The following is a 23,572-nucleotide window of genomic DNA, read 5'->3' as shown; positions in this document are numbered from 1 at the left end:
AGACATGCTCAGGGCTTGACGTCTATGAATAAGGCTTGGTCTAGCCCTTACTCCAAATAGGAAGCTAACAACAGACAACAAAGTAGAATTACTGGGCTATGGTGAACCTGATCACCATGAATTCATGACTTCTTTTATGGATGCTTTTTAACCAGATGGTGGGACTAGGGGAACAAAAACCAAGGCCTGTCCAGAGTTTGGTGTTAGTGCCATAGCTTTAAAGGGGAAAAAACAGGTGAAAAATTCTAGGAGGCTGTGCCAGAAGAACCAGCAAGGGTTGATGGACTTTGAATCTACTGGCTATTCCTATTATAGTTTTAAGTGAGTTGTGAGAAGTCATTAAATAAAACAACTAAAAAAAGATACACACCTGTCCATCTGAGTCAAAAGCCAGGCAGGCAACTCCATGTGTATGGACATCTTTAAGAAGAGACACAGTCTGGACATTATAGGAATCCCATATGCATATATATGGCTCCTTCCCGACTTGGCCAGTTGCAACGAGAGTTTTGTCTGGGTGTAAGGCAAGGCTGAAAGAGAAAAGGTTTCTTTTCACATCTTCCAACTGAAGAAAACACTGATCACCTTTTATCCAAATCTGTTTCTCATTTAAATTATCTAACAAGGTGATCTCAAGAGAAAGAGTCTGAACTGTCCCCAAAGTAATTAATTACTTGATTTGACTAATTGAAATGTTCACTTTAGCAGAGAGGCTTAGCACAGTCTGACAATCTCATTTGGTCTTACCCATTGGTTACCTTGAAAATTAGGTGCTGTTGTGATTGTAATTATTCAATTTAAAATCGTCTGTATAGTTTTATAATTGCTTTATGTTGTGAAATTTAATTATTGATATTCAAAATATTACTTGTTTTCAAGTTAGCTTTTGACTTTAATTTTTTTTTAAATGTTGTTACTAGGGGAAGGTTCTCTTCTTGGAATTAAACATACTTGCAGAAGCACTAGATACTATCCTCATTAGGATTTCAAAGCATGAATGGGTCCCAGAGTCATGTGCTGTTTCTGTGTCTGTTGCTATAGATTACAAATTTTAAGTTAAAGTTTCCATTTTACATAGATCACTGTGACACCAAAGAACTACAAATTACAATTGTGGTTTGTATAGCAATTTTTCTCTGTAGTTCGATAAAAATGAAACTTCGTCAAATACCAACTGGTATTTTAAGGAGTCAGTAGCCGTTGAGAAGTATTTTTCCTAGATTAAAAAAAAAAAATCACCCTAATGTTTTAAATTCATTGTGTATAGGCGTTGTGTCTTTCTAAAAAACAGACGTTGGGAATCAAGAGCACATTACCTATATAGCAAACTAGCTCATTGTGTAAACTTCTGCTTATACAATCAACAAATACAAATTTTCCCATTCCAATTTTCAGTATCTGCTTAACACAGTAAATGGAAGTAGACTTTTTTTTTTTTTCAGTGTTTGGCATGGTGTTAATGAGAGTATATGTTCTGATATCAGACACTGGATTTGCATGTTGGCTGCCCTTAGTATCTCTGGTTCTTTGGACAAATTACTTCATCTTTTGCCTCAGTTTCCTCATCTAAAAATACAGATAATACAGAAAATAGATGATATAGTCAATCTAGAGTACTTAGCAGAGTGCCCGGTACAGAGCGAACACTGAATACAAATTTTGTCTTTTGTGTAATCAGCATTATATATCTATAACCAACATAAACATGCCTGTGTGAATATAATATGGCTTCCAAAAACAACATATGTACTTTAAATCCATGTTGGACATCTGAAAAGTGCTTGCTGGAAAATATATCTTCAGGAATCTTCATAAGCAAGTAATACAAAAAGATAGCCCATATAGAAGGGTTGCTTTTCACAACAGGTGAATGCTATAAGCTTTTAACTTTTTAAGGTTGTAGAACACTTCAGCATTCAGTTGGTGAGAGATTATCAATAAGAAAGGACCCTCCCAATCTCAATTTTGTTGAGACACACCTGGTATTTCAAAGTACCTAGATGTCCCAGAAAACTGCAAGATTATGGCATGCCATGTTTGCTCATTAAGCTGAGTGGATGGAAGCAGTTTGAAAACCCTGTTGATAAACCAGTATATTTTAGCTCATTCACTTATTCAACAGGCCCTTGTGGACCTATGATATGTCAGGGACAGTACCATAGACATATAAACAGAAATCACACTGCTATCTTTGAAGGAGCCCACTTTCAGAGGAAAGAGACATGTAAAGAAATAATCACGATATGTCAATATACATACACAGTAACACAGAAAGATGGAGGATGGAGAAAGATGGAGGATGGAGTGACCAGCTGCCCAGGACATTAGGGAAGACACGAGTTCATATGAAAGACAAGGTGCAAAGGGGATTCACGTGAAAAGACAATGTCCTCCACAGTTTCAGTCTTACAGAGAATGGCAGAAAATGAGATGGGTCAGGCAGGCAGGGGCAGCTCTTGAAAGCTGCCTTAGCCAGGCCAGGAAATTAGGGTACCACTGACTATTTTCAGCAGGACACAGCATAAACAGTTCCATAATTTAGGAAGGTAATCCTAGCAGTGATGAAATGCAGGGGTAAGGACAGATCTGTGAGGGGTGTTAGGAGAGGCAAGGTGGTCAGTTAGGGACCAGGGAGAGACAGGGAGGGAAGACATGGGTAGAGGGGATAAAGAAGAGTCAAGAGCTACTGGGGGTGAGAACAGAGGGGGAAATGCTTAGTATGTTTGAGACTCAAGGACAAGCTTGGGCACATTAAAGTTGACAGAAGATTTTGTGCGGGCAACAAGGTTTGTAACTCACAGAGCCTGGCTACAGTAAAGTTTGAAGCCTATGAGCCTGATCCTGGGAAAAGATGGCCTAACTATCCAATTTTTAGTGGGGAAACCAAGGAGACTGCTCAGGTTAGCATCACATCTGGAGTCCTAAAGGCTAGGAAGAAGAGGATTGACTAGATTGTATGCTCCGTGAGGGCAGGGGCTGTCTTCCATCACTCTAAACAGTTCCTGGAACATCATACAGCAGAGTAGGCATTAACAAAATACTTGAAGAGGGAGTGAATGCTGCCAACCATCTTGGCTGCCATATTGCCTCTCCCCCTGCAATAGGCAAGAGGTTCTACCCAGGGACTAGAAAATGAAGAATGAGCATATTTCCCCTGGAAGGCCAGAAACACTTTCAAGAGATATAAATTATACTATTTTGCTGTGATCACAGCTTCTATTTTAAAATCCTTGAGATACTTGTTAGATTCTTGAGATTCTGAAGCATCCAGAAGCAAATAATAAATCACTGCTCCGAGCAGTTGTTCTAATTCCATAATTCCTGATTTATTGCAGTTCTTTGAATGACGGGGTTGGGGGGAATGGAATAAACAGATTTCAACAAGTCTTCAAATAACTTACGAGCCTTAGTTACTCAATAAGCAGTGCTACCCCAAAACACCTCACATTTTGGATTTAAAGTATTTTTATGCTGGTTATTGTTCTTCTCATTCATATTGAAGCCCATAAATTTACCACATTTACTAAAAAGTTCACATTGCAATTTTTTTTTCTTGCCAGAAGTTCCTTCACACTGTTTGTTAAATCATCTCTTTACAGCCCTTTCTCCAGTCCTCCTTTGCCATTTGGGTACATTAAGAAAATGAGCTTTTTCTCCTTTCATGAGCCAGAGTCTGTGACATCACCTCTCTGGCTTGATGTAACATGATTGCTTAGAGTGACTCATAATGTTACCATTTATCTATGTCCATGTCAAGAATAGCAAGAACAGAGAACCACCTTTATTCACTTTACTATTTGTTACCTTTCCCATCAGGCTTCCCAGAAACTCCACCCCTTTCAGCAGTGACATGTATCATCCAGGGCACAGCCAAATGGCATCCATGTCTCATCCAGGGCACAGCCAAATGGCATTTACTTCTATTTTAAATTTGTCATGTCATTTCAAAAGCACGTTAAGCCTCAAAAAAGGAGAAAAGCTCACGAACTTTACTCACTAGATTTGCAAGAGAATAGAAGGTATCAATAATGGTGGAGTTACAGATTTATTTAATAAGTATTTATTTAATAAATAAAATTCCACACATCTTTGGAATTTTAGTTCAGAAGCATTTTAAATGACAGGGAAGTATTATGTTTGAATTTTCCCCAAATGAAACCAAGTCCATCCTTTTCTACCTACCTCACAATTGCTCTCTGCTCCTTTCTGAGTGCTCTGAGCCTCAGAAGTCACCCTCCAGCCATGCTGTTAGTCAACCAGCAGATTAAAAGGTCAGGTCTTTGCATATAATTGAGGGACTGTGATGCAAAGAACCCTGTCCCCTGAATCCCTGGGCTTTTGATAAGATCTCATGAGAAATGGCCAACTATTGTGTCCTCCCATAGCGCAAGTCACAGAAGCGGAGAGTGCCACCATCACACAAAATGCTTATTCTACCTTGGGCTTCTTGTCATCTTCTTTACCATGTTATGACTGGAAGTATGGACACTACTTATCTCTATTTTAAGTCTATCTGCCTATTGAGAGTCCATATATTTAATTCTTTGCTTTTCTAAGAAGACTTGCAACTTTTGCAAGTTATTTTAGCTACGACAGCACTGTCACAATATTAAAACTTTTACAGTTGACTCCCTTTCATTGCGAGTCTCAAGACAATGAAAGTCTCATTCCACACCTACATAAAAAGTTTTGGTGTGACTGTTTTTCCTTTGGTACTCAGTTTATTCCATTTATTGTATTTTATATATGGCAACAAAAAAAGGATCAAGTTTTGAAAGAACTGTTTTTTAATATATAAACCTAGTTCTGTTGGGAAATCCCATCTTCTGTTACCATAGCAATAGAAAGCACTGCAGAGAAGGACTTTCATCAACCTATCTGGGAGAAGAAATTGATTTGTTTCTCTAGCATGCCAGGAGGGAAAAGCATGTCTTCCTGATGTCAGATAAGATCACGAAGATTTCCAAACATCTTGTGAAAAAGAAAAGATGAGAATCAAAAGGGTCATGGAAGGAAACAGCCTTGCTTATGAAGTTTAACAACAACAACAAAACACTCATCAATATTAATCATTCTTGATTCCTTGAGGCAAAAAATTTTATGAGCACTTGTTCCAAGTGCAGCATTTAAAAAATGTTCACAATTCTTAAGCCTCATTTCATTTTTGCCCAGGCTGCTTCAGTGATTCTCTCAGTAATAATTTATATGTTTAGTTTTTTTTGTTTTTGTTTTGTTTTTGGAAAAAAAAAAAGTCTCACCAGGAAAGCATGAAAGCCTTCTCCCTCCCTGCCCTGAAGATAACCTTGAGAGCAGCTTTTCCATGTCAGAGGCAGAGGCACATCAAAATTAGGTTGCATTGTCTGACGACAGAAGGGGAGGTTGCTGCTTTGGGGATTGAAGGGGGAGTGACCCAACCTCAGTGGATGTTCATCTGCAAGGCAGAAAAGGCAAAGGCAGGCCTGATTTGAACAGTGGCCTGGAGGTAGTGGAACCTCAGATGGGGATGGCTGTGTTCCAGTCCTGGTCCCAAGAGATGCGCTTAGCACTTCAGTACCCCACCACAACTGTGATCTTGACACCACAGAGAGGGCCCTGCCTTCCTGGTGGGCTTGGGCAGCACAAACAGGAATGACAGCAACATGGACAAAACAGCAAAATTCATTGCCATTTTCCTGAATTGTGTGAACCCCACAGAACCCGTATAATCCATAGTTAAGCAGGGGGGGTCCCTAAAACTGGACTTTAACAAGCTTGATGAGTGGTGCATCTAATGAGAATGTGATTTAGTAAAATAAACTTAATACCTTGCCATAACTGTATGCTATACTTACTGGTATGAAACTATATTCCAGCAATACCTTCGTATAAAAGAATGGTTAAAAATACAGCCATACAGTGGCATGATTGGAGCCAGCTTAGACTGGCCACCAAAAACTGATTAAGTTTTAGCAACTTTGTAAACCAGTTAATCACAGCCACTGTTAGGTATTATATTGATTTACAATTACATAAATTATATTAAAAGCAAAGGTAATACATACTGAAAGCTCGTCACTTGGTAATTATTTTACTACATTTCACTGTTGTCTATAGTTGTGAGGTTATTTATTGCTATCCTATCCATATGGTAGAAATACCATAGATGGTGTGTTACTCCACACCTCTTCCCAACTCCATTTTCAATGATGTCACATTGGTGGCTTGAAGTCAGCCATAGTGGGTATATTTACATCATGGAAATCACTAAGTGCTACAAATCAGGGCTTAATTTATTGTTTTGTTGATTGTCTAGACTTAAGAGATAGGATAAAATGTTGATAATGCAGAATAAACATAAAAGCGTGTCACTCTGTAGCTGTTACATTGTGAATATATAAAATTGAGAAAACGTCCTCAATATTCTCTCACATCACTGACCAACAAGTGTAGTTCCAACACAAATGTTGGCTGATAGCTTTATTTACATTAATAAGGAAAATGTAAAACATATACATATTGGAACTTTAATCATTTGCCAATGATGTGAACAACTTCTTTGCTGAACCAGATGGTAATCAAGAATTTATTCCTCATTTGATTTTGTCAAGTCATGCTTAAACTGCAACCATAGACTGACCACAGATATAGGAGTTTAGAAAAAGAGGAAAAAAAAAATCAATAAAAGCATTCTATCAGAATTGATTGGCCATGTGGAATAAAAAGTATGACACTTTATTATTTGTAAGTTGTGCATTATATATTATTTATGTCAGTAAAGTGTATAAGTTTATTAATGCGTATGCATAGTTTTTTTTCTCCTGGAGAGCTGTTTGTTCCGTGACAAGTGCATCACTGAAACCTGTCTCCTCTACTTACTGGCAAAGAACAGTTTCTCATATATCACCTTCAGCAAATTACTCAACCTCTCTGTGCCCCAGTTTCTCATCCATAAGAATGGGAATAACAACAGTACCTACCTCAAAGAAAGTAGGTACTATGAGTACTTAATAAATCCTAAAGCAGTGATTAAAACAGTAGCACTTAAAACCTAGCACTATATAGGTGGTATTGTTATTAATTAACCACCATGTGATAGACCCACATGAAACCTACCCCTCACCCCCAGAAACGGACATTCTTTTTTTTTTTTTTTTTTTTTTTTTTTTTTTTGGAGACGGAGTCACTCTTGTTGCCCAGGCTGGAGTGCAAGGGCGTGATCTCAGCTCACTGCAACCTCCGCCTCCCAGGTTCAAGCGATTCTCCTGCCTCAGCATCCCGAGTAGTTGGGATTACAGGCACGTGCTACCACGCCCAGCTATTTTCTATATTTTTAGTAGAGACAGGGTTTCGCCCTGTTGGCCAGGCTGGTCTCGAATATCTGACCTCAGGTGATCCACCGACCTCAGCCTCCCAAAATGCTGGGATTACAAGTGTGAGCCACCGCGCCCGGCCAGGAACAGACATTCTAAGTCCGAGCAACTCATGTACATAGAGAGCTATGGTGAACTCTCCTTGAATTTAAAAATAAGACTATTCTCTGTGATTTAAACTGGTAAAAACCATTTGGAATGGACAAGATCAGTTATCTGAAGATGCCTCCCTAAGGAGAAAAGATCTAAAATATAGACATATATACATACATGTATATATACATACACACATATATATGTATATACATACATGTATATGTCAGAAAAAATGTTAACAAAAGTAGAAGTTCTGCTTAAAGTCTTTATTAAAAGGAATTAAGACAGAATATTGCTATAAGGATAGACATACAAATCAATGGTATAGAATTGAATCCATAGAGAGACCCACATTTATATGATCAACTCATTTCCAGCAAAAGTGTTAAGATAACTCATCAGGGGAAAGGATTGTTTTTCAACAGACAGTGCTGGAACAACTAGGTATCCATATGGAAAAAAGTGAACCTTACTCTTCCCTTTTACCATATGCAAAAAAACTCAAAAAGTATAAGAGCTAAACCAAGTAATTGATAGAAAAAAATATAAGAAAATCTTTGTGACCTCTGAAAGATAATGGTCTCTTAGAGAACAAACAAGCATGAACCATTACACAAAGGAGAAATTGGACTTTAAAAATAAAAACTTCTGGTCTTTGATAGACACTATTAGGAAAATGAAAATGCAAAACACAGACTAGGAGAATGAAAAGAAAAAAACAACAAAATCACCAAAGTTCTACCCAGAATATATAAAAATGCTTATAATTTAATAAGAACACAACTTAATTTAAAATATGCTGGAAGACTTGAACAATGTTAAGGACAACTAAAATTAAAAAGACTGATAATACCAAGTGTTGCTAAAGACACAGGGCAACTGGAATGCATATATATTGCTAATAGGAAATGTAAAATGATAAATCACTTTGAAAAGTCTTTTGGCAGTTGCTTATAAACATATGCGTACCATTATGATCTAGCAATTCCACTCTTCAGAATTTATCCAAGGGAAACCAAAAGGAAATGTCTAAACAAAGACTTGCATACAAGTCTTCACAGATTTAAAAGAGCCAGAAATCGGAAATAGGTCACACGTACAACAAGTGAATGGATAGATTATCATCTATTCATGCAATGGAATTGTTCTCAGCCATAAACAGAAATGGAACTAGTGACATCCACAGCATGGATGAATCTCAAAAATATTACATTGAGTGAAAGAACTCTGGAGCATTCAGTGGAATACTCAAGTCACTAATACCTTCAACATATGTTAGGAGCCAAGACATACTGTTTCTAGTTGACAATCCCAAAAATAAAAAGGTATGAAAATATAACCTAAAGCTACAAAGGTAAACGTTAAGGGAATAAAAAATAAAATAACCCTCAGGGAGGAGAAGAAAAGTGATGTAAGAATGGTATACCTAAGCTACATCCTCATGTATGTTAAAAGGAAGTCAACATGTCTAAAGAAAATAAGAAATAGCCATTAACCATACTGTTTTGAGATGTGGAAGTAACCACCAGAGAGAACAGTCCTGAAAATTAGAAGTGTTCCTTTGAAAAGTAGATTGCAGATAGGAAAGACTAGAGCAGGGGCAAATTTACATTATAATGCTTTCTGTTATTTTGTGTCTCCATTGTTCTGATACAAATACAAAGATTAAAACAAAAGTGATCCTGGAGAAATATAAATTGATTAACTGACACAAGAAGGCATCTGTTGGTTTAGAAGTCTTCCACAGGCAGGAAGTGGGCAGGGTTGTCTGATGGCTATGTCACATTTATCAACTCGCAGAGGTTCTCACCAGTATAATTGCTACTGATAAAAGAATTTGATCAGCATGGCTAGTCTTACAGTGCATTCTTTGAAAAAGAAGAAATACTGCCTAAGACTGTAACACAACAATTTGCTAATGAGAAGTTTCACTAATGAGAGAGGTCTATGTGAAATCCAGCTTTCTGGAGCTAGTCATCCTTTTTTCCTCCTCTCTTTAAGCAAGGAGTATGACTCAAGCATTGAGGGTTGTATCTGGCAGAAGTCCTGTTAATTTAGGATAATTAAATATGCCAGTCATGTGTTTCAGTAATGTCTGATTAAATACTTTAGAGAAGTCATTAATGAATCCATCTGGTCTAGTGGCTTTGCCAGATGGCAAAATGTTACTACCTCTATCTGTACTGCTCCTGGAGCATTCTACCTTTCTTGTAGTGTAGCACACAGTCATTTTCAGGGTAAGTCTTAATTTGCTAGTTTATACTATCAAGGGATTTGGAAGGTAGAATGCAAGCCTAATATTACACCACACCAACTGAGCCACAAGATTAAGGCTGCATTAAATGGCCTATCATTCTACTGTTGAATTCAATGTGATTTCATCATTTCCATTTCCTCAGAATGTTCTGTCAAACATCTCAGATGGTGCCCGGTCCGTGAGTGGAGAGTCAGCACCACAGGGAGAGGTGACCAGCTGTATTTCACACACACAGGAGCTAACACTCTAAGAGGAGGAGAATTTCAATTGTTTCAAAACTGAAATCCTGGAAGTATTTTCTCCATGTGGCTCGTCACTTAAAAACAAAACTGGCCACTTATTTAAGTATAGAGTTGCACAGCCTTGTGAAAGGTGCATTAAAATGGCAGTCTTCAAGCCGTTTTGATACCTTAATCATGCAGAGTTCATCTTTAACTTAACAATTCCCTCACCAGCTTGGTCAAAATGCAAGGCGTTCTCCAAAGCATTGACAATGGCAACTTTAAGATAATCACTTCACTAATTGGTACCTAAGGCAAAGGCTTAAATAGAAGTGACAACAAACAAAAGGGGCTTGGAGCTGCTAGAGGAGGGTCTAGGGTGGCTTGACGAAGGTATGAGGCAAAGATACAGCCGAGAAAAAAGCCCAATGATTTATTACCACTGTCAACCCCTTACCCCTCAATTGCATTGACTCCTCTAGCTGACAAATAGGGCTAAATTGAGGTCCTATTCTTTTCTAAGGAAGCCAAGTTTGACTAATTGACCAGTTTAGTTGGCTTTGATCATTTATGTTCATGAAACTTGCTTCCAAGGGCACTTCCTGGCCATACAGAAACTACAGACACCACACTATGGCAGCTCACACGGAGCTCTGGCTTTTGTTTTGCTCTTGTGGTTAAGAACAACTCCCTTCCCCTTCAGTTTCATCTTTTTCCTCTCCCTTCTGTTCTCTTTCCAAGTTTTTTCTCTTTCAATGAGGATCATATGTAATATTTCATCCAGCAAGTTGGTGTTTGGAGGAGTAAGTGGGCAGGAAAGAGGGGACCTGTTTCACCCCAGTCTCCCAAGTTCCCAGAACTGGAAACCCATCGTTGACTCTTGCCCACTACTCTCAATTCTGCGCAGTTTGGATTCAGTCACTGTGGAACTATCACAGAACTTGGTGTAAGTGACTAATTAAAACCTTTTTAAGATTCCATGTGTAAGAGTGTGTCTCTCTACTGAGTTGAGAACATGCTGTAGTTTTCATCTGCCAAATGGGGTAAATGGGAACGCTCAGCACAGGGTGTGAGACACAGTGGGCACTCAAATAGTAGCCATAAGTAAAGTAACATGGCCTTTTATCAGAGCAACTAAATTATTATTATTATTGGTAGTAGTAGTAGTAGCAGTAGTAGTAGTAGTAGTAGTAGTAGTAGTAGTAGTAGTAGTAGTAGTATGAGACAGGGTCTCACTCTGTTGCCCAGGCTGAAGTGCAGTGGCATGATGACAGCCTCGACCTTCCCAGGGCTCAGTGATCCTCCCATCTCAGCCTCTCGAGTAGCTGGGACCATAGGCACATGCCACTATGTCTGGCTAATTTTTTTATTTTTTTGTAGAGATGGGGTTTGACCATGTTGACCAGGCTTGTCTCAAACTCCTGGGCTCAAGCGATCTGCCCGCCTCAGCCTCCCAAAGTGCTGGGCTTAGAGGCGTGAGTCACTGCACCCTGCCTACTAAAATTATTACCAAGTTAAAAAAATTCAAACTCTTAGAAGTACGAGGTAAGTTACTTATTGTGATTTTTAGATGCAGAAAATAAAAACTGTATTTCATTCTTGCTTGTATCGGGGGCATTCTTTCCAATTCTGCCATCAGTGTTTTAAAATTCTGCCATCAGTATTTTAAAAGAATGTTAGCTACAGGAGGGCAGGGATTTTATAGTCTGTTTTTTCCATTGATGACCCCCAGAACAGCACCGTGCCTAGCCTATAATGGACACTTTTATAAATACATGTTGAATGAGTAAGTTGACATGTATAGCTTCAGACATCTGAGTAAGAGCAAGATGGATGCAAGAACACATTCAACAACACAGGCATCCTTCATGCACAAAATTCCTGTCACGAACTCTCCAGACAAGAAAGATCATGAAAAATACCACTTATTCTTGATAACAGTAGTTCAAGAAATCGTTATCCAGAAGACTAAAATCCAGTTTTTAAAAGTGCCATTCTGAGAAGTGATGGCATGACGTTTTAATACATAGGGCCTCATAGTTTTCTAACCAAATTAGCTACAAAATAATAACCACGTTTGTGATGTTGGTTTTGAAAAATTGCATTAGGTTCTTACAATAGTTTGTTCAGAAGAAAATCATTAAATGGAAATGAAAGGGCCTTTGAAAGCTAATAACACTGCAAACAAGCCTAATTCAAGGTCACCGATTTTCCTTTGTATTTTAGTTCAACAGAAATGGTTTCATGGGGAAACGGATTCATCCATATTCTATTATTTCACAAAGAAAGACAAGCACGCCCTCCTCAGAGCTGGCGCAAGCAATCCCAGACATCACACTGGAGAGTCAAGCATGAATAAACTCCTACTTTGACACGAGTATCCCTCCAGAGATGGTTAATTCATGTAAGCATCACTTCAGGCCAAGGCTGACCCAGCCCACTTTTCATTACTTCATATTCTCAGACACGTCATAGGAAGAAATTTTCAATTCCAATGAGAAACCTTTTTTTTTTTTTTTCTTTTGAGACAGAGTCTCGCTCTGTAGCCCAGGCTGGAATGCAGTGGTGAGATCTCGGCTCACTGCAAGCTCCACCTCCCGGATTCACTCTCCTGCCCCAGCCTCCCGAGGATCTGGGACTACAGGCGCCCACCACCATGCCCGGCTGATTTTTTGTATTTTTAGTAGAGACGGGGTTTCACTGTATTAGCCAGGATGGTCTCAATCTCCTGACCTCATGATCAGCCCGCCTCAGCCTCCCAAAATGCTGGGATTACAGAGGTGAGCCACTGCACCCGGCCTCAATGAGCGACTTTTAAAGAACAGAATTTAATGTCCAGGGCTAAGAAAATTCAAGGAAACAGATAACATGAAGGGTAACTTTATTCTAGCTCCTTGACCCCTAATGAAATTGGAGTCTGCCATTTACCAGCTCCTGTTCCAGAGACGTCACATGTTAGATCAAATTTAATCCCCAATAAGAGTCTACCTGGGCTGGAGTTGAGGATCCTACATGTCTATTATACAGAGGTAAGTAACACCTCTGCCTCCCTTCTCTTCCCCCGTATTGGTTTTCATCCACTGAGAGTAAAAAAGCTGCTTGGGAACCACGAAAATTACTATCCAGAATGGTGGTTCATCCATCTACCCATCCAAGTATCTGATGTCCTAGGGGTTGGAGCCAGGTGCAAGGAATGGAAGCTGTGGTAAGGGACAATGCCCTCTTGAGTGCATTCACCATGCTGGAGGGTGCCGTTATATCTTTGAGCCAGCCTCTAAGTCAATTCATGCTTGTTTTGGGAAAAATAAAAGCATCTGTGTGGGAGGGGTCTCTGAAGACCGATTATTTTAGGATATGTTTGATGCTTAAGAGTCCTTATATTGAAAATAGGTACCCCAAAATATATATACATATATTTATATGTGTGTATGTACGTGTGTGTGGCTAAAGTTTATTCCTGAATTCAAGCGTCATTTGAGGATCACCTTCCAATCTGATGGAACAGTGGGGGATACCTTTAACATCTACATCTGAGCTATTTGACCCTTTAAGGGACCTCATTCAATCCAACTCCTCCAGAGCAAACAAAATAAGAAATCAAATGGTTGCATGGCATGTCAGGCTGGAGTGCAGTAGTGTGATCTCGGCTCACTGCAACCTCTACCTCCTGGGTTCAAGCGATTCTTCTGCCTCAGCCTCCCGAGTAGCTGGGATTACAGGCGTGTGCCACCACACCCAGCTAATTTTTGTAATTTTAGTAGAGACGGGGTTTCACCATGTTGGCCAGGATGGTCTCAATCTCCTGACCTCATGATCCACCTGCCTCAAGCCTCTCAAATTGCTCAGATTACAGGCGTGAGCCACCACACCTGGCCGAAACCCCAAATCTCTTTATAAAGTGTACCAACCAGTTTGCTGGACATTTTCACATTCACTTTCCTTTTAAATAATTTCTAGCAAAGGTCAGAGAGCTCTATCTAGTAACAAACTGAGCAAAGACTCAAAATGAGTTTTGTCTGCTTCTGAAAACTTGGAGCTAATTTTACCTCTCCAATCTCAATTTCTTTTCCATTATATAAGGGGTCAGCAAACCTTCTATAAAGGGTCAGATAGTAAGCGTTTTACTCTTTGATGGTCATATGGTCTCTGTTGCAACTACAAAATTCTGCCATGCTAGTATGAAAGCAACCATGCACAGCTGGGCACGATGGTTCACGCCCTTAATCCCAGCACTTTGGGAGGCCAAGGCGGGTGAATCACGAGGTCAGGAGATCGAGACCATCCTGGCCAACATGGTGAAACCTGTCTCTACTAAAAATACAAAAATTAGCTGGGCGTGGTGGTGGGCACCTGTAATCCCAGCTACTCAGGAGGCTGAGGCAGGAGAATCGCTTGAATCAGGGAGTCAGAGGTTGCAGTGAACGGAGATCGCGCCACCACACACCAGAGGCTCCATCTTAAAAAAAAATAGTAATAAAGGCTGGGCGTGGTGGCTCATGCCTGTAATCCCAGCACTTTGAGAGACTGGGGCAGGCAGATCACCTGAGGTCAGGAGTTTGAGACCAGCCTGGCCAACATTGTAAAACTCCTTCTCTACTAAAAATACAAAAATTAGCTGGGCATGGTGGTGCACACCTGTAGTCCCAGCTACTAGGTAGGCTGAGGCAAGAGAATCACTTGAATTCAGGAGGCAGAGGTTGCAGTGAACCGAGATGGTGCCACTGCACTCCAGCCTGGGAGACAGAACAAGACTCCGTCTCAAAAAAATCTAGCAGAATATATAGCAGAATAAAGCAGAAAAAAAATACAATCATCTCAATAGATGTAGATTTGCTGGTTAACAAAATCCAACATCCATTCATGATAAATGCTGTCAGCAAATTAAGAATAGAATGGAAATTCCCAATCTAATAAAAGGCAACTATGAAACACCTGTAAGCTAAAATATTTAATGCTGAAATACTGAATGCATTCTCTTTATGATGAAGACCAAGGCAAGGATTTTTATTTTTATTCATTATTAGCCTGCAGGTCCTAGCAGTACAATAAAGCAAGAATAAATAAAAGGTATAAAGATTGGAAAATAAGTAGTAAAACTGTCTACTCACAGATGATATTGTGTATCCTAATTAATCTACAGTTACAAAATCCTATTATCCTAATCAATAAAAACCCTACTAGAATTCAGTATAACAATATTTGCAAGACACAAGATCATATACGAAAATCAATTTGTAGGTACCGGTAGCAATATTTTGGAAAACAATTTTAATGCCACTTATAATAGCATCAAAAAACATAAGGTACTTAAGATCTTAAGTTTAACAAAAAGATGTATAGCTCCTTTACATTAAAAACTATAAAATGGCCGGGTGTGGTCGCTCACGCCTGTAATCCCAGCACTTTAGGGGGCTGAGGCCGGCAGATCACAAGGTCAGGAGTTCCAGACCAGCCTGGCAAACATGGTGAAACCCCATCTCTACTAAAGATACAAATAAATTAGCCAGGCATGGTGGTGCGCACCTATAATCCCAGCTACTCAGGAGGCTGAGGCAGGAGAAGCACTTGAACCCGGGAGGCAGAGGTTGCAGTGAGCCGAGATGGTGCCACTGCACTCCAGCCTGGGCAACAGGGCGAGACTCCATCTGACAAAATAAATAAATAAATAAACTATAAAATACTACATAGAAAAATTAAAGACAAGAAGAGATATTATGTTTATGGATTGAAAAACTCAATTATTGTTAAGGTACCAAACCTCCTCAAATTGCTTCATTGCAATCCTAATCGAAATTCCAACAAGCTTTTTTATAGAAATTGACAAACTGATCCAGACACTTATATTGAAGTACAAGGGTCCTAGAATAGGTTTTTTAAAAAACTAAAACCTTGAAAAACAATGAACTTAGAGGACTCACACTATATTAAATCTTGATTTAATATAAAGCTAAATTAAGACAATGTGCTATTGGCATAAGGATTAAAAAAAATCTATCAATGACACTGAAGCCCAGAGAAGTCAAGTAACTTGCCCAAGATTACATGGCTGATAAGTGGTAGAGACAGGATTTATACCCTAGCAGTCAGATTCTAAAGCTGGTGCTTATAACCTCTACACAGGCTGCCTTTCCACAGTACAGTCTCACTAGAAACCAACCACTTCCCAAAGACCTTAGCTGAAGCCTCAACTATTGCTAGCATTTTTTTTTTTTTACAATAAAGAAGTTTTCTACATGTTGTTAGGCATAATGCTATTGCACACTTAGTAGACTACAATATAAACATGACTTTACATGCACTAGGAAACCAAAATATTTGTGTGACTCGCTTTATTGCAGTGGTCTGAAACCAAACCCTCCATCCGATATATACCTGTGTATGAAATCATGACTTAATTTGTTTAAGGTGTATCCTAAGCAGATTAAGACAGGATTCGTATTACTAGAAGACATGGTTAGGTTTGAGAGAGGTCTCAAGGCCAGACCATATTCATTTCTCTCCTTTGAACTCCGATGGCTGTTATTGTCTATACTGGCCCCTTGCTACTCAAAGTATGGTCTTCAGACCAGCAGCATCCATCCTCAACAGGTGGGGCTTATTATAATAAATACAGCTCCTCAGACTCAACCTTAGACCTACAAGATCACAGTTTTTTTTTTTTTTTTTTTTTTTTTGAGATGGAGTCTTGCTCTGTCACCCAGGCTGGAGTGCAGTGGCACGATCTCGGCTCACTGCAAGCTCTGCCTCCTGGGTTCACGCCATTCTCCTGCCTCAGCCTCCTGAGCAGCTGGGACTACAGGTACCTACCACTAGGCCCCGCTAATTTTTTTGTATTTTTAAGTAGAGACCAGGTTTCACCACGTTAGCCAGTATGGTCTGGATCTCCTGACCTCGAGATTGCCCACCTCGGCCTCTCAAAGTGCTGCAGAGCTTACCTTTTTAAAGGATCCCCGCCTTGTGACTACCTGGCCACAGGGTGAGGAGTCCTTGTCTGAATCATTTACTCCTGCACTTAACCCTCTATAATAGCCTGGCGGTGCTCTAAAACGGTTTGTTCTATGCATTCACTTATGTTACCACAAGAAACACAACATTTTCTCCCAAGTAGGCGCTTTGTAGATCCCCATAACCTTTTCTGGATGCCTAGTATGCTTAAATCCCTGTTTCTGTAAGTCTTTTGGCACTGAACTAACAGTCACTTAAGTGTGTGTGTGCGCTCGTGTATGCAAGCACACACATTTAATATACTCAATTTTCATTATGAAAGGATTTAAGTGTTCCTTTAAGATAGTAAGCTCTCAGCATACTTAAAATGATTCCATTTACAAAAAAAAAGAAAAAAAAAACTTACCAAAACAAAAAAGCGCTCACTTTACTCAATACACTTCAAAAAAAATGCACAGGTTATATAAATGTGATTCCACCTGAAGTGGGAATATTTCATTTTCCCTTTAAGAAATGGATTCTCTGAAGAAATAGGTCATTTAGCTTCTTTAGGCTCCTATTGTGTTATTTTGAGAGTAATGAGTAAAGACTGAATAAGGAAATTCAGGAGGAAATATTTCCTCAGTCATTTTTAGAAGCCATTAATCAGACTTATTCCCAAGGAGATTTCTTTTGGTTAAAATTAGATGTAGATATGGAGAGAGAGATGTCATAGATAGATATGATATCTTGGGATTTTACTTATATACTATTAGACGGATTTTGTATCATACTTGCCTTTATTTCCCTTCAGAATCTTTTGAAATCCTTGTTATAATTTTTCTCTGAGAAAGTTTTAAAGACTTATTTGTGTAATTTTATCTCGTATTCAGTGTTTTGAGATTTAGATGATGAAAGCATCTCATCTAGATTTTGGTGCTGGATTTTTAATGCCAACAGTTGTAGCCCACCAGTGAGTATGTCCATGAAAGAGAAATCATGCAAATTCCACAGAAGCAGCTTTTTAAGCTGAATGAGTACCACTGTTCTTAAATTCTTAAGATGTAGCTGCCTAATACCCTAATCTATGCCTCTGCATTCATCAGCGTTTTCACCTGGGAATCAGGCTCACTCAAGTATTAAGTATTGAATTCGGGGGAAATCACATATTATGCTAGGGGCTAGATACTAAAGTTTGCTTATAGTCAGTTCCTTAGAGCACCATCGGGGCAGCGCAGTGCATGTGGCATATGTACATGACTGTACAGTACTGAGGCCCACTGAGGACGCCAGACCCAGACATTCCCTGGGGGCATATGCTCCTTGCTGGCAGTGGCAGGATGCTACACCATGCTTTTTAAATTGGTCCCTATCCTCCTCCTTCCCCTCTTCCCTTTTCCTCCCCCACACGTGTATTTGATGAGACTCACTGATATTGGCTCTGTGTTCCCAAGTCTCATCTCCAATTGTAATCCCCATACGCCAGAGGAGGGGCCTGGTGGGGGGTAACTGGATAATGGGGGCAGATTTCCCTTGTGTTCTCGTGATAGTGATTTCTCACAAGATCTGATGGTTTTCAAGTGTGGCACCTCCCCACCTCATTCACACATGCTCTCTCTCCTGCCACATGTGAGACATGCCCTGCTTCCCCTTTACCTTCTGCCATGATTCTAAGTTTTCTGAGGCCTCCCCACCCATGCTGAAGTGTGAGTCAATTAAACCTATTTTCTTTAAAAATTACCCAGTCTCAGGTAGTTCTTTATAGTAGTGTGAAAACAAACTCACTATACTCATTTTATATCCTCCAGAAGCTTAAGACCAAGTTAAAGCAAAACCAATCTAGAAAAACAAACAAACAAAAAAACACGAATAAATAGTACTATGTAAGAATGGCGTGGTAAAATTCTGAGGTAAAGGAGTTTCAAGAAGGCTGGGTCGGTGGGACCTAGTGTGGTCAGTGAATTAACAAATGATTCCTTCTTAAGGTAATCAATATCCTGAAAGTCTTCAGTTGCCATCATACAGATGAGGGCTGGTCTTGGTACCAGAACCTACTGAAGCTACAAATTCATCTCCAATGACCCTCCTTTAGGCATTTACTAAACCAAACAACTGTATTACACTTGTCACGTAAGCGTAATGTCGTACAATTTTTGTAAGCTGAACACTTGTTTAAGAATGCTTAGGACCTTTTTACTATTAAAGTTAATCCCTGAGTGCACTAACCATTTACAGGTGGCCCAGCCTTTACTCCACTGAAAGGAAAAAGGGGCATTATGCAAGGGCCATTGGTAAGATAAGTTTTCCTAGAAAAAACATTAGGCAGACAGGATCCTTTAGGGGGCATCAGGACGAGCCAGTTTACAGAAGCCAGAGGGGTGCTGAAAGTATCTGAATTAAGGGAACTGAGTTGACCCTTCCCCGTCCTGTCCCTACTCCCTCAGATGTTTCTGCCAGGGAAGAGGACTGAGAACTAACGTTTTAGTAATCAAATCACATGGTCAGCAAGGGGTCAAATTAAGAATTTTGCTAAGAAAAATTTGTATAATATCAATAATAAGAACAGAGAAAAGGGCGATAGAAATCCATGAATTGGTGTTTTAATGCCTCTGAGTGACCTACATTAACAGGGACTTGAGTAAAGATGAATAGGCAGCTGAGTGTAATGGCACAGTCCAGAAGCCAACAGGCCTCTGCTGAAATCCCAGCTCCCCTGCTGCATGACCAAGCAGCAGGGCCAGCTGCCTAATCTATCTTAGCCTTTATATTTGTCCGAAATGGGGATAATAACACAACTTACTTCACTGGGATAAGATTTATTTGAGATAATATATGGAATATACTTAGTACACTGCCAGCAAAGTGGAAAATGCTTATTAAGGGTCAGTTTTCATGTTTATTAGATGAGGTGAGGCAAGGGAATTGACCGAAGAGCTATTTCAGGGAAACCAGTAACAACTGTTCCATCAACTGTCAAGTAGACACTTTCTCTTTGAGAAGGAGAACTGTCTCCTAGTAGGCTATTGAGGGGCTAGGGGAAGGAAGAGAAAAGACCTAGGCTGGAGTTCCAGGGAGTTCCAGCCATCACAGCTGCATTCCAGGCACCAGGAGGTGGGAGTTGGGGAAGTTCTGCCACTGCTGCCCCTACTCACCAAACCAGCCCCGCTTCCTGGAAGTCCACAACACTTATGTAGTCACCAGCCACATCTGGCTCAAAGGAAAACTGGCCAATGTTTCCTACAGGGACATTGCTTTCCTGAAAAGAACTGGGGTACTGTTGCTAAGGAAGGGAAGAATAGATATTTGGTAGGCAACTGGCAGTCTCTTCCACAGCCTTTGAAACAATTGCCTATGTTGCGGGCGTGTGAGGAAGTTCGACAGGATTTAGTGTTCATAGTAACCATTTGCCTTCCTTGAATTGCACAGAAAAAATTAAATATACAAAGATATGCTTGCATACATTTTATTAGAAACAGGGATTGTCAAAAGTAGTTACGATATGCTGGGACCCAAAAAAAAAAAAAAAAAAGCCTACTCATACATATTTACCTTATACTTCTTCAGGAAAATAAAGTTGATCCGTGTTTTATGACTTGGTTCTCCTCCCCTCTACTGCCCTGCAAACGCTGAAAGATCAAAAATTTTATTTTGTGACAGTCTTGCTCTGTTGCCCAGGCTGGAATGCAGTGGTGCAAATTTGGCTCACTGCAGCCTCTACCTACTGAGTTCAAGCAATTCTCCTGCCTCAGCCTCCCTAGTAGCTGAGATTACAGGCATGCACCACTACACCCAGCTAATTTTTGTAATTTTGTAGAGATGGAGTTACACGATGTTGACGAGACTGGTCTCAAACTCCTGGCCTCATGCAATCTGCCTGCCTCAGCCTCCTAAAGTGCTGAGATTATAGTTGAGAGCCACTCCACCAAGCCTAAAGATCAAAAACTTTAAACCAACTTTAAGAAAAAGCTCAGATGCTATAACTTTAAAAATCATTTCTTTTTTTTGCTTTTTATAACTCCTCTGTTGTCTGACAGAAGTAACTACTACTTCCAATAATCCGTATGTCCTCATAACATCTTTTTAGAAATCCTAAATTTCAATCTCCTTAAAAGGCCCTTGTGAACAATGTCGTATTTCTATAGCGTATTTCTATTTTATCCCAAAGTGCCCATAGTATTAGGTATAAAAAATACTTCAAATAAACTTTTTTAGCAGTATTTTTTCACATTTTTAAATTGAGGTATAAATTACATACAGGAAAATTCACCCTTTAGTGTACAGTTCTGTGAGTTTTGAAACATCTGTGATCATGTAACCACCACAGTAATGCAGATACGCAACAGTTCTATCACCTCCAAATTTCCCCTGTGCCCCTTGTGTCTGGCAATCACAAATATAGCCGCTATCAACATTTACAGACAGGCTTTTGTGTGAAAATAAGTTTTCCACTTGGTCAGATATCTAGGAGTGAGATTGCAGGGGCATCGGATGCCTATTCAAAGCCCCAAATCAAAAGTTAGCTTAGCTATCAAGTTTTTATTAAGCATTTTGACAGTCATCCCCAAAGATCTGCATAATGACTTACTAAAAAGAGAAACTGCCACCAATAATATAGGGGAAGCCCAGGGGGCATTAATAAATTAGGCTACAATTAAAGGGACAAAATATATCGAGACCCATTTTTCATTCTGCCCAACACAATAGAAATAAGAAAATATTACATGTCAAAAGGGTACAGAGAAATATATGGCTTTAAGATGAATGTTTTCCCATTTCCCACTGTAATTTATACTCCCTTCTATTACTCCTTCTACAAATCACATTTCTGAACTTTTAAAAAACTGAAGAAAACCAGATGACTTTGGGAGGTCCAGGCGCATTCTGATGTCTGCTTATGCGGAAGCTTCTAAAGAGCTTGCTGTAATAAACACTACAATAAGCCTGAAAGAGATCGCCAGGATTTTCTGAGTCAAACAAGACATGTTACTCCTTCATAGAATCAGAACTAAAAGGAAACTCAAGTAAAATCTCATCCCACCCTCTCAGTTTACAGATATGAAGAAAACCAAAGCCAGAGAGGAGAAATGACTTGTCCAAGAGCACAGCTACTTTGTAGTATAATCCAGGGCTGGACTTCACAAGCGGAGGGCAAACGGTAGGGTGGACACTACTGAACCTCCAGTATCATTTTTTTTTGTCAATCTTCAGTTCTCTTGGCTCTAGCCTGCAGGCTAACATCACAGTTATAGTGTTTACCCAGAGCCATGGAGAGAAGAACAAAAGGGATACCGGTGTGGCTTTGTTTAAGGTAAATATTTTATTATAGTACCTCAGCCATTCTTTCTTCTAATTATAGAATCCACTGACTGGAACTAGAAGTGGGGACAAACTGATCAACTTCAGGGTTTACATTGCTGGTGAACTCCAACAATGATGGATAAACTTGTATCACAGGTACAAGAGGAAGGGGTAGTACTGCTGGATTTCTTAATTTTGAAGATACATAGATTTCAGTGAGAAATTCGGACTCATTCTCATTTTGGCAAACCACTGTTGAAATCAAACTGGACAGAATGTAGGCACCTTCCCAATAAATTATCTTCAAAAGAGATGAGAAAAAGACCCACTTGCGTGAGCATACCGGCAGGACTGTAACTGTGCCGTCACTTCCCGATCAGGCATGTACTGGCATCATCTGTGTTCCCACGTGCAACTCAGGAGAAGCAGGAAATAAAGCTGAAAACCCTACACGTCCTCCCTCACCTCTCTGAATTTCTCTTCACACCTATTATATTTTTTGTAATATTTATTCAGAAGAAATGCTGAATGGTGATAATGCAATAACTTAGGCCTGTGACTGTTTGCTTCAAAGTTTGAAAATTAAGTTACCGGCCGGGCGCGGTGGCTCACGCCTGTAATTCCAGCACTTTGGGAGGCCGAGGCGGGCGGATCACGAGGTCAGGAGATCGAGACCATCCTGGCTAACATGGTGAAACCCCGTCTCTACTAAAAATACAAAAAATTAGCTGGGCGCGGTGGCAGGCGCCTGTAGTCCCAGCTACTCGGGAGGCTGAGGCAGGAGAATGGTGTGAACCTGGGAGGCGGAGCTTGCAGTGAGCCAAGATCGCGCCACTGCACTCCAGCCTGGGCGACAGAGCGTAACTCCGTCTCAAAAAAAAAAAAAAAAAAAGGAAAATTAAGTTACCAATGTCCTCTATACACAATAGGGTCCTGATACTAATATGGATGTGAATGATCAACTGTGGGAAAGCCTGGTGATAAGTACGTCAAAAATATAACCAGTTTCTTGCTTCTAAGTCTATTAAAATGTAGGTCCTTGGCTTCCAAATGCTGGTATCTGAATGATACAAGAATGGACCCTCCAGCCGTGAAATGGGTGGTGACAATAGAGTATGGTGTTGTACACACAGATTAAGAGTGCAAATATTGTCAATGTTTATATTTCCCACTAGTTGTAAACTTACTCTGCAATTCAGAGTACAGCTCACAGAGTTAGGGTGCTTCCCCGCTCCACAATGAATCTGAAATTACCTAAGTATTTTCTGGGCACAATAAAAATTAACCTAGTTAACTCACTAATATGTCAATGAAAACAATATATACATATGTGGGAAGACAGTGGGAGAGAAAATAGAAAGTGGATGAATTGTCACCATACACACAGCAAGTTATCTAATTTGCTTTTCAATTGGCTCATTAGAAAT

General features: G+C 39.8%; 1 protein-coding gene across 9 annotated transcripts in view; it reads right to left on the bottom strand.

The window, feature by feature from the left end:
- Positions 1–23,572, bottom strand: part of EML6 (EMAP like 6) — a 248,474-nt gene that overhangs the window by 158,264 nt on the left and 66,638 nt on the right. For all 9 annotated transcript variants that reach the window (XR_001738743.2, XM_017004098.3, XM_047444299.1 and 6 more), the window contains exon 3: positions 371–530. Coding sequence is in view for 7 of the 9 variants with exons in the window: in XM_017004098.3 (XP_016859587.1) it covers positions 371–530 (160 nt within the window). In the remaining 2 variants the exon portion in view is untranslated. The remainder of the gene's footprint in view (positions 1–370; positions 531–23,572) is intronic.

The sequence above is a fragment of the Homo sapiens genome, chromosome 2 (genome assembly GCF_000001405.40).
Source record: "Homo sapiens chromosome 2, GRCh38.p14 Primary Assembly".
NCBI classification, from domain to species: domain Eukaryota; kingdom Metazoa; phylum Chordata; class Mammalia; order Primates; family Hominidae; genus Homo; species Homo sapiens.
This window is presented reverse-complemented; position numbering and strand designations above follow the sequence as displayed.